This window comes from Homo sapiens, chromosome 5 (genome assembly GCF_000001405.40).
Source record: "Homo sapiens chromosome 5, GRCh38.p14 Primary Assembly".
Classification (NCBI taxonomy): domain Eukaryota; kingdom Metazoa; phylum Chordata; class Mammalia; order Primates; family Hominidae; genus Homo; species Homo sapiens.
Genome location: NC_000005.10, coordinates 108,427,685 through 108,439,645, shown reverse-complemented (window position 1 = coordinate 108,439,645; position 11,961 = coordinate 108,427,685). Strand labels below are relative to the sequence as shown.

Sequence of the window (11,961 nt, the reverse complement as noted above, 5' to 3'; positions counted from 1 at the left end):
ATATACTTAGGATTGTTAGCTCTTTTTGTTGCATTGATCCCTTTACCATTATGCAATGTCCTTCTTTGTCTCTTTTGATCTTTTTGTTTTAAAGTCTGTTTTATCAGAGATTAGGATTGCAACTCCTGCTTTTTTTTTGCTTTCCATTTGCTTGGTAAATATTCCTCCATCCCTTTATTTTGAGCCTATGTGTGTCTGTGCACATGAGATGGGTCTCCTGAATACAGCATACTGATGGGTCTTGACTCTTTATCCAATTTGCCAGTCTCTCTCTTTTAATTGGGGCATCTAGCCCATTTACATTTAAGGTTAATATTGTTATGTGTGAATTTGATCCTGTCATTATGATGCTAGCTGGTTGTTTTGCCCATTATTTGATGCAGTTTCTTCATAGTGTCAATGTTCTTTACAATTTGGTATATTTTTGCAGTGGCTGGTACTGGTTGTTCCTTTCCAAGTTTAGTGCTTCTTTCAGGAGCTCTCATAAGGCAGGCCTGGTTGTGATAAAATCTCTCAGCATTTGCTTGTTTGTAAAGGATTTTATTTCTAGTTCACTTATGAATCTTAGTTTGGCTGGATATGAAATTCTGGGTTGAAAATTCTTTTCTTAAAGAATGCTGAATATTGGCGCCCACTCTCTTCTGGCTTGCAGGGTTTCTTCTGAGAAATCTGCTGTTAGTCTGATGGGCTTCCCTTTGTGGGTAACCCAACCTTTCTCTCTGGCTGCCCTTAACATTTTTTCCTTCATTTCAACCTTGGTGAATCTGATGATTATGTGTCTTGGGATTGCTCTTCTTGAGGAGTATCTTTATGGTGTTCTCTGTATTTCCTGAATTTGAATGTTGGCCTGTCTGGCTAGTTTGGGGAAGTTCTCCTGGATAATATCCTGAAGCTTGTTTTCCAACTTGGTTCCATTCTCCTCTTCACTTTCAGGTACACCAATCAAACGTAGATTTGGTCTTTTCATATAGTCCCATATTTCTTGGAGGCTTTGTTCATTCCTTTTTATTCTTTTTTCTCTAATCTTCTCTCTTTCTTTCATTAAGTTGATCTTCAATCACTGATATCCTTTCTTCATCTTGATCAATTTGGCTATTTATACTTGTGTATGCTTCACAAAGTTCCTGTGCTGTGTTTTTTAGCTCCATCAGGTCATGTATGTTCTTCTCTACACTGGTTATTCTAGTTAGCAATTCATCTAACCTTTTTTTCAAGGTTCTCAGCTTCCTTGCATTGGGTTAGAACATGCTCCTATAGCTCGGATGAGTTTGTTATTACCCCCCTTCTGAAGCCTACTTCTGTCAACTTGTCAAACTCATTCTCCATCCAGTTTTGTTCCCTTGTTGGCGAGGAGTTGTGATCCTTTGGAGGAGAAGAGGTGTTCTGGTTTTTGGTGTTTTCAGCCTTTTTGCACTGGTTTCTCCCCATCTTTGTGGATTCATCTACCTTTTGTCTTTGACGCTGGTGACCTTCGGATGGGGTCTTTGAGTGTATGTGCTATTCCTTTCTGTTTGTTAGTTTTCCTTCTAACAGCCAGGACCCTCTGCTGCCGGTCTGCTGGAGTTTGCTGGAGGTCCACTCCCGACCCTGTTTGCCTGGGTATCACCAGCGGAGGCTGCAGAAGGGCAAAGATTACTGCCTGTTCTTTCCTCTGGAAGCTTTGTCCCAGACGAGCACCTGCCAGATGCCAACCAGAGCTCTCCTGTACAAAGTGTCTGTCAGCCTCTAGTGGGAGGTGTCTCCCAGTCAGGATACACGGGGGTCAGGGACCCAGATGAGGAGGCAGTCTGACCCTTAGCAGAACTTGAACACTGTGCTGGGAGGTCTGCTGCTCTCTTCCGAGCCATCAGGCAGGGATGTTTAAGTCTGCTATAAATCCCAGACTGGGGCTGCTACCTTTTTTTCAGAGATGCCCTGCCCAGAGAGGAGGAATCTAGCAGTCTGGCTACAGCAGCCTGGCTGAGCTGCAGTGGGTGCAACCCAGTTCAAACTTCTGAGCAGCTCTGTTTACACTGTGAGCATAAAACCACCTACTCAAGCCTCAGCAATGGCTGATGCCCCTCCCCCCCACCAAGCTTGAGCATCTCAGGTTGACCTCAGACTGCTGCTGTGCTGGCAGCAAGAATTTCAAGCCAGTGGATTTTAGTTTCCTGGGCTCTGTGGAGGTGGGACCCACCAAGCCAGACCTCTTGGCTCCCTGGCTTCAGCACCCCTTTCCAGGGGAGTGAATGGTTTTGTCTCGCTGGCATTCCAGGCACCACTGGGGTATGGAAAAAAATATAACTCCTGCAGGTAGTTTGGTGTCTGCCCAAATGGCCGCCCAGTTTTTTTCTTGAAACCCAGGGCCCTAGTGGGGTAGGCACCGCAGGGAATCTCCTGGTTTGCAGATTGCAAAGATCTTGGGACAAGCACAGTATCTGTGCCAGAGTTCCTCAGGCTCAGTCACTCACGGCTTCCCTTGGGTAGGAGAGCAAATTCCCAAACCCCTTGTGCTAGCCGGGTGAGGTGACTACCCACTCAGCTTCAGCTCGCTCTCCATGGGCTGCACCCACTGTCCAACCAGTCCCAGTGAGATGAACTGGGTACCTTAGTTGGAAATGCAGAAATCATTCGCTTTCTGAATCGATCTCGCTGGAAGCTGCAGACTGGAGCTGTTCCTATTCAGCCATCTTGCCAGCAATCTCTCTTTTTTATTGACACATGGTCTTGCTTTGTCATCCAGGCTGGAGTGCAGTGGCACAATTACAGCTCACTGCAGCCTCAAGCTCTGGGGCTCAAGCAATTATCCCAACTCCGCCTCCTGAGTAGCTGGGACTGTAGGCATGCGCTACCATGTTGGACTTTTTTGTTGTTTTTTTTGTAAATAGAGGATGTCACTATGTTGCACAGGCTGGTCTCTAACTCCTGGCCTCAAACAATATTCCCACCTCAGCCTCCCAAGTTCTAGGATAATAGATGTGAGCCACTGTGCCCAGTTTAAAAGTTTCTTAATGCATGTCCTCAATTCTGTACTCAGTGAATTTCTACCCTGGCTACACACATGAGGGTAAATGTCAGCAGGGGATATTTTAAAATATACTACTAGATTCCTACCCCAGATCAATTACATCAAAATCTCTGGCCTGGAGTGAGTGTGTGTGTGTGCGTGTGTGTGCATTTTAAATTCCTTCATATGAGATCATAGTTGAAAATCAATTACCTACACTGATGAGTTAGCTAAATAAGAGAAATTGATTCTTCTTTTCCTCTAGTTACTTAGTCACAAAGCCCTAAAATTGATTTTTTAATACTAAATTAATGCATTTACAAAATCTTTACATTGAAAAAAACTCTTTTCTTGAGGCATTTAGATTTCAATACCACAGTACATTTAGAAAACCTGTAATTTTGATAGAGTAATTTATTTAATACTTCTTTTTCTTTCTCCAACATTTCTTTTTTACCCTCTGAAGTATTTTATCTTAATTATTGAAGGTACTTGGAAATGGTTTAGAAAATCTTGCATGAAGACCTTTCTTTCTCTCTACTTATTTACTGTAACTTCTCTGAACTTTTTTCTCGTGTTGTACCAGCTCTGAGGCCTGTTGCCCTTTCAGTAGCTTAGTTTAAAAGGTCAATGATGGGGCTCAGAACATCCTACCCCAAAATATGATGCCTTGGTATGATGTATATTTTAAACTGAAAGAATTTGAGAAAACTAAAGGATCACGAAAGTCTCTCTGACCTTTTCCCACCGCTCTCCCCTAAAGCACGTCATAAAACCTAGGAAGGATTTTCTGACCTTTTCCTGAAGCAGGTCATAAGACCCTCATGTGAGTGATGTCCTCCTATACCTGGAAGAAAGGAGCATCCAGGAGCCAATCATTATCTGGAATGACACAATCCTTAATGCCATAATCCCAAATGCTGAAATCCTAAGTGATTATAATCCTGAAAATATAAGTGTGGAAAAAATCATTTAAAAATTTCTTTAAGAGATATTTATTTACATTTTTAAAGGGAATTTATTTGAAAAATATATAAAAATGTAACAGAACCCTTCATAGGCCACTTGACACATTAAAATAGCCAATAATAATATACATATTTTTGTAAGCATAAACATTGAGGTACATTAACCACAGTTGCACAGGTATAACAGTTATGGGTAGATGAACCATATTCATAAAGAAATAGGTCAAAAAGGGAACTGTACAAACACATATTACTATGGTTGCTAGTTGTGTGCAAACTGCTTTGTAACTCCAGTTATTTGAAATACCATGACCAACAACCTAAGTCTTTTGACAAGATTGATCAAAAACTGTGATGGGGCCAGGTGCAGTTGCTCACACCTGTAGTCCTAACACTGGGAGTCTGAGGCAGCAGGATCCCTTGAGGCCAGGAGTTCAAGATCAGCATAGGCAACATAGTGAGACCCTGTATCTATGAAAAATTTAAAAATTAGCTGGGCATGGTAGCGCATTCCTGTAGTCCTAACCACTGGGGAGGCTGAAGTGCAAGGATCCCTTGAGCCCAGCAGTTCAAGGCTTTAGTGAGCTGTGATCTAGCCACTGCACTCCTGCTCTTCAGCCTGGGCAACAGAGTGAGACCACATTGCTAAAAAACAACAATGAACAAACAAAAAAACTACAATGGGTGACCAACACATATGCAGTTGCCCCAAAAGCCAACATCTCCAGAAATTTTATCTTTCACAAATGCATGTGTACAAAACAACATCTCTTCATTTATTAAGGAAGTTTCAACATTTTTATGTATATACAAGGTGCTTTCACACAAAGTGTTGTGATAATACACTTTCATGCAGTCAAATTTGTGAAAAAAAAAATGCATAAAACGAATGAGAACTCTCCAAAAGTCTCTACATACTTGATACCTCCAGTATTGGAAATGATGTTAAGATGATATACATAGCATAGCAAATTTCTTTGCTAGGTTTCCAGGTATTCCTTAATTCAGTCAAGTTGACGCCTAAAATTAAGTCCACAAGTCCACCTCTTCTCAACTTGGCACCCATATTCATCTCCTAAAACCGTACTTAATTTCAAAGACAATAAAAAGGTAATAGCTCTGCCTAACATGATGCAACTATCCTGTGATTGTGATTTTGGGGATTTTGGATGTCAGAGATTTTAAACTTCTGGGATTTTAACATTCAGAATTATGGTGTTCAGGATTGTGTCTTCCAAGATTATGATCCAAACCTGGAGCCCCCTTATCTCCAGAGACACAAAGATGCCAAGAAGAATTTAAACAAAGAGGCCTTGCTAAGTTTTCCGCAGTTTATTACCATTAGATTACACCCGTTTTGTCTCATCATATTTAACTTCATGAAATCTACTATAAAGAAACATTCAGGCCTGGCATGGTGGCTCATGCCTGTAATCCAAATGCTTTGCAGGGCTCAACGTGGGAGAATCACTTGAGGCAAGGAGTTGGAGGCCAGCCCAGGCAACATACCAAGACCTCATCTCTTCAAAAAAAATTTTAAATCAGCTGGGAGTGGTGGTACATGCCTGTAGCCCCAGCTACTTGGGAGGCTGAGACAGGAGAATCTCTGGAGCCAAGGATTTTGAGGCTGCAGTGAACTGTGATCACACCATTGCACTCCAGCCTGGGAGAAAGAGAGAGATTAAAAAAAAAAAAAAAGAGAGAGAAAGAGATTTAACTGTCTTTTTGGGTCTTCATTTCTTCATAAAGGCTCTCTTGTCACGTAAAACTTACTAAGTGAATTTGTATGCTTTCCTTCTACTAATGTCTCTTCATCAGTTTGTTTTTTTTAATTGTATTTTAAGTTTAATATGTTTAATATATTTATTAATATATTATATATAACATATAATGTTTTAAGTTTAATATATTTTATTATATTTTAAGCAGAATGTGCAGGTTTGTTACATAGGTATACACGTGACACAGTGGTTTGCTGCACCCATCAACCTGTGACCTACATTAGGTTCAGTTTGATTTTTAGACCTAGCCAGGGCACCTAAAATTGCTAAGCAAAACCTTTCCTCTTCTACGTCAGATTGATGTAATCCATATCCTCAAACATCTTAGGAAATTTTTACATAAATTTACTCTTTATTTCCACTAAAATTATTCTCTTTGTGTTGTCTTTCATTATTTTATTTATTTACCTGTAGTTTTTCTGGCTTTGTTTTTAAGATGTTTCATGGAGCTTCTCTAATCTCCCCAGGAGTATTTTTATTTCCTCCTACTCTTAAAGACCCAAGACACTATGCTTTGAAGTAAGTTCTACCATTTTATTCATTTTAGCTTTGCAGATCTTAAAGAGTCTTTGTGAAGAGTTTAGGGGTTCTGGAAAATTATTTAGGAGAATTTTAAGAAGAAATTATTCTTTCATTTGCCAGTTTTATAGTCTTAATTACCTTAGTTGGTTTTTTTTAAAATGAGAGGCTTCAAAGTAATTTGATTTTTCTTTTACTTCCTATTTTCTTTCTTGGCAGACTGACTGTAAAAATAGAAGCTGAAAATTTCAGATGAGGCTCTGAGGAATTCTTTAAGCTGCCCTTGAATCTACTTCTTTCTCTTCTATCTAATAGAGGTTTTCTTCCCACTCTGGGGTAGAAAGAGTTTTTAATGAAGTTTTCTCCCTCTCCTAGTAGCCTAGTTTTAAAATGAAGGGTGGGTTTCTTAAACATGAAAATTTTCCTGAGCACACTTCTTCTTCTTCACCTTTAATAGATGCTGGCTTCTTGTAAAAAATCTGCTTTAGCATCTTAAAGGCACTGGGGAATTAATTATTGAGGAAGTTCTGCATGGAGCTATAGTCTTCTTTTCCACTTCAAGTACCCTGTTCTTTCTGCAAGCCTGAGATGGTGTTCTCTGATGAGGAACAACATCATGTAATGAGAAGTGTTGACTGAACCTAGCTCTGCCTTGTGGTTGTGAAATTGAAGTGAGATGAAAGAACATGGGTTTTAGAGTCAGAATACAGAGTTTGAGTTTTCTATCACAATCACTTGTTAACTGCATATTTATAATAGATTCACTTAGTCTCTTTCCGCCTCATTTCCTTCATCTGTTGCTGAGGGAATCATATCTATTCCCACAGAGTTGTTGGGAGAATTAAATTTTATGATGATAGGGTTCAGGCTGAATATTTTTGGCTGAAGGAATTTGAGAAAACATCAGAAACAGGAAGGTCACTCTCACCTTCCCCTTGCCCTTCTCCCCTGAATCAGGTCATAAAACCTCCTTTGGGAGGTCTGACCTCCCAAAGACCCTCATGTGAGAGGTGTATTCCCTTGACCTGGAGGAAAGGATCATCCTTGTCTCTGAAGACAAAGAGATATAAAAAGTAATCTGAAAAAAAAAAAAAAAGGCCTTGCTAAGTTTCCCCCAGTGTACGACATAAGATTCACTCTCTTTACCCAGCATATTTCTCCATGACTCACCATTCTTCATTGAAACTACAATTTTAAAAACTCCGGTTTAACTGTTCCTTTTGGTCATTTCCTTACAAAGGCTCCCATGTCACATTTAATTTGTATTAAATAAAGTTGTATGCTTTTTTCTTGTTGCTTTGTCAGTTTTCCTTTCAGACCCAGCCAGGGACACATGCAGCTCCCTCAAGCTTTACTTTTGCATTCAAAAATGTTGGTTAATTTGGACAATTTGTGTTAAGCTACTTCCTCTTCATCTCCTTTCTTGCCCAATCTTAAAGGAATGAGGAAAGAAGTAGATTTAGTAAATAGCACTAGGGCTGTTCTTTGGAAAAATTGTAAAGTAGGTACTTGTGTTTAGGTTCTTCAGTGACTTTCTGTGCTGTCCCCCAAATTTCCCCATGCTTCCTGCCTCTCCCGGTTTCTTGCTCCCTCTCCAGGAACCAAGTGCCACACTTAGCTTTCTTTTTCAATTTTTAGATTCAGGAGGTACGTGTGCAGGTTTGTTACCTGGGTATATTGCATGATGCTGAGGTTCGGGGTATGACTGATTCCTTCACCCAGGTACTGAGCATAGTACCCAACAGTTAGTTTTTCAACCCTTGTGTCTCCTCCCTCCCTCTTGTAGTCCCCTGTGTCTGTTGTTCCATCTTTATATCCATGAGTACCTGATGTTTAGCACCTACTTTCAAGTTAGAATATGTGATATTTGGTTTTCTGTTTCTGTATTAACTTGCTTAGGATAATGGCCTCCAGCTGCATCCATGTTGCTGCAAAGGATATGATTTCATTCTTTTTATGACTGCATGCATTCCATGGTGAGTAGTACCACATTTTCTTTATCCAGTTCACCATTGATGGGCACCTAGGTTGATTCCATGTCTTTGCTATTGTGAATTGTGCTGCAATGAACATGTGAGTGTGTGTCTTTTTGGTAGAAATATTTGTTTTCTGTTGGATATATACTTAATAATGGGATTGCTGCGTCAAAACGTAGTTGTAAGTTCTTTGGGAAATCTCCAAACTACTTTTCCATAGTGGCTGAATTTAAATTCCTACCAACAGTGTGTAAGCATTCCCTTTTCTCTGCAGCCTTGCCAATATCTTTTGTTTTTAGACTTTTTAATCATAGCCATTCTGACTCTGACGTAGCTTTCTAGGACAATGATTCACAATGTTTTCAAACACTTTTGTTTACTTATTCATTAAAATAAATATGAAAATCTATGAACATTCTTGCTCATTTTTGACAACTAAAATTTTATCATGTATTTTTAAAAGTGTATTTATTGTTAATAGAAGATACAAAATCTTACATATTTTTTACATAAAATGGGATGATTGAGTAAAATTGAAATCAATCTTTCAAGATAGGATTTGATGAAATGATTCTAAACTACATTTTTGAATAAGTATATCCCATCTGAGGAAGTGATGTTAACTTTTTATCTGTGGGTTTTATTTCAAATACTTGATAGTGTCATGACACATTCTATTTGCATTTAAAGGAATAGGTATCATCATCTACACTACCTATCCTATTCTGAACTCAGAGCATTTCAACATAGGTCAAAACACCTTATTTCTCAGACCAAACTTTACCTTTAACAGACATATGCATAAGACATATGTGCGTTAATTAATCATTGCAAAAGGTTTTCTTGAACAAAATAAACTTTATATTTCTATTTTTGGTTCCTCAGAGATATTTAGGCTCCAGAGTCAACTGTTGTAGTGAGATTTGGGATGAGAGATGGGACATCAGTGTGCCCTTCTTATGGACTACTGGGAAGTCAGGCATTATAGGCAGATCAATTTTAGGAGAAGGTGCTTAGGAGGTTGATATCCCTTAAAACTATTCATTTAAGTGTACATATTGTCATTTTTTAAAACCTTACATTTATTTTAAGCTTTACTTATATATATGAAATAAAAGGATTCATTCTGTTTAAAGAAACTTCAAGTATCATCAAGCTGGTGAGTCAAAGAACTTTGGAAGGTACTAGAAGTTGTCCATTGCTGTGGAAATTACTCAGTGATGGCTGTCATCTACTGCACACAAGTAAGCTTTACCCTAGTTTTAGATTCTTTAGAAAATTCCACATTTAATAGCTTTATTTCTAGACAGACTTTCTATTTTATTTCTGAGCTATAAAAATTTAGATGTGTTTTTCAGATTTCTTATAAAAGTGATTTTTCTCTTTTCTGTTTTACATACACTCATATTTTTGACCTTAAAAATTATATACTTTTTTTTTGAGACAGAATCTTGCTCTGTCACCAAGACTGGAGTGCAGTGGCGTGATCATGGCTCAATGCAGCCTCAACCTCCTAGGCTCAAGCATCCTACTGCCTCAGTCTCCCAAGTAGCTGGGACTACAGGTGTGTACCACTGTGCCCAGCTAATTATTTTATTTTATTTTTTTGTAGAGACAAGGCCTTGATATGTTGGCCAGGCTGGTCACGAACTCCTGGCTCAAGTGATCTTCCTGCCTTGGCCTCCCAAAATGCTAGGATTACAGGCTTGAGCCACAATACCCAGCCAAAAATTATATTCACTTAAGAAGATGTCAGTACATTTTCTTGCATATTTTTGTTTTAAATATATAAGTGAATATGTTACTTAAGAGATTTCAAATGGCAGTAATTTTTTTCTTCTGCCACAAGTTATTATTTCTTCTTCCAGTAGCCTAAAAATAAAAACCCAGTATAATATTGTAACAAATTATGATTTAGACAGAGGATGGCAAACTACAACCTGTGGGTCCAATTCAGTCCAACCCAAGGCTTCTTCTTTTTTTTTATAAAGGGTCTCACTATGTTGCCAAGGCTGGTCTCAAACTCCTAGCTTCAAGCAATCCTCCCACCTCAGTCTCCTGAGTAGTTGTAGCTAAGATTACAGGCGAGAGCCATCACACCTGATCCAAGGCCTCTTTTTGTATGACCCATGAACTCAGAAAGGGTTTTACATTTTAAAATGGTTGGGAAAAAGGGTGGGGCCATGGTGGCTGACTAGAAACTGTCTTGTTCGGAGGCTCCCATCAGAAAAAAACATAATAAGTGTGTGAATCCTTCACTGGCAACCAAGATATCCAGGTTCTCTCATCAAAATTGGCTAGAAGGCTGATGTGACCCATGGAGAGAAGGAAGAGCAGTGTGGTACGGCAGCCCACCTGAGAGCCATATGGGGAAGGGGAACCCCCTCCTCCAGCAAACTGCTTTTTCCACAGAACTGTGCAACCCACGGAATCAGAAGACCCAATGCAACCAGGGCCTAGTGTCTCAACCCTGGAACTTGCAGATTCTTACAGCCTCTCAGCTGGAATCTGCTTAAGCCTACCGAACTCCTTGGAGGAGGGATGACCAGCACCGGCTGTCTGCTGTCTAAGCTGTTTGAGCTCTTTGGGGAAGGGGCAGCAGCCAGCACTGGGACTTGCAATTGCCTACCATGCTAAGCTCCCTGGATGGGGGAAGGGCGGCACCCATTTCTATAGCTCCAGGCTGTGCTTTTCCCCTGCTGAAACCAGGGAGGCTGGACAGCTTGGTCCCAAGACTTGTCCCCACAGTCCAACAGACCAGCTATGACAGTCTGCAGCCAGAGTGTCTCTTCAGGCCTAATCCTGACCCATCCTTCCTCAGTGGGTGGGGTTTCCCTGCAAGATCTCCAATAACTCCAGCCAGAGGCTCAGAGAGCTGGAGCCTCTAGGGGAGGGGGTGGCAACACTCTCAACACTCTCTGCAGACCAGCAGACTTAGCCTCTCCTACTGGTAGTTCTGAGGAATCCAGGTAGCCCAGTTGAGTGCACTTCCCCCCAGTGAAACACACCCTCTCAACCAAGGGAAAAAGTATTTTGTTAAATGGGTCCTGCTCCCCGTGCCACCCAACTGAATGAGACACTCCAACAGGGATTGTCAGACACTTTATACAGGAGCCATCCTACTGGCATCTGGTTGGTGCCCCTCCAGGTTAGAGGTACTAGAAGAAGGAGCAGGCACCCATCTTTGCTGCTCTCCAGCTTCCTTGAATGACCTCTCCAGGCACAGGAGTGAATCAGATGAATAGGGCCTGAAGTGAACTACCACCAAATTGCAGCAGCCCTACAAAAGAGGGACCAGACTATTGAAAGAAAAACAAACAAGCAGAAAGTGACAACAACAGCATCATCAACAACAACAACAACAAAAAGGCCCCCACAAAAACCCCATCCAAGGGTCAACAGCCTCAAAGACTGAAACTAGACAAACTCGTGAAGATGAGAAAAAAATCAATGAAAAAATGCTGAAAAACCCAAAAGTCCAGCATGCCTCTTCTCCTCCAAATGATCGAAATGTCTCTCTATCAAGGGCACAGAGCTGGACAGAGGATCTGATGAACGAATTGACAGAAATAGGTTTCAGAAGATGGGTAATAAAAAACTACAATGAGCTAAAGGAGCATGTTCTAACCCAAGGCAAAGAAGCTAAGAAACTTGATAAAAGGTTAGAGGAATTCCTAACGAGAATAACCAGTTTAGAGAGGAACATGAATGACCTGATGGAGCTGAAAAAC

At 40.3% G+C, this 11,961-nt stretch overlaps 2 annotated features.

Annotated features, from left to right (window-relative positions):
- Window positions 1,704-2,204: an enhancer, noted in NCBI's record as "H3K4me1 hESC enhancer chr5:107773143-107773643 (GRCh37/hg19 assembly coordinates)". NCBI's record gives its function as "activates a minimal SCP1, AML or CMV promoter by ChIP-STARR-seq in primed H9 embryonic stem cells {active_cell/tissue: H9 hESC(primed)}" and the evidence as "EXISTENCE:reporter gene assay evidence [ECO:0000049][PMID:30033119]".
- Window positions 2,205-2,705: an enhancer, noted in NCBI's record as "H3K4me1 hESC enhancer chr5:107772642-107773142 (GRCh37/hg19 assembly coordinates)". NCBI's record gives its function as "activates a minimal SCP1, AML or CMV promoter by ChIP-STARR-seq in primed H9 embryonic stem cells {active_cell/tissue: H9 hESC(primed)}" and the evidence as "EXISTENCE:reporter gene assay evidence [ECO:0000049][PMID:30033119]".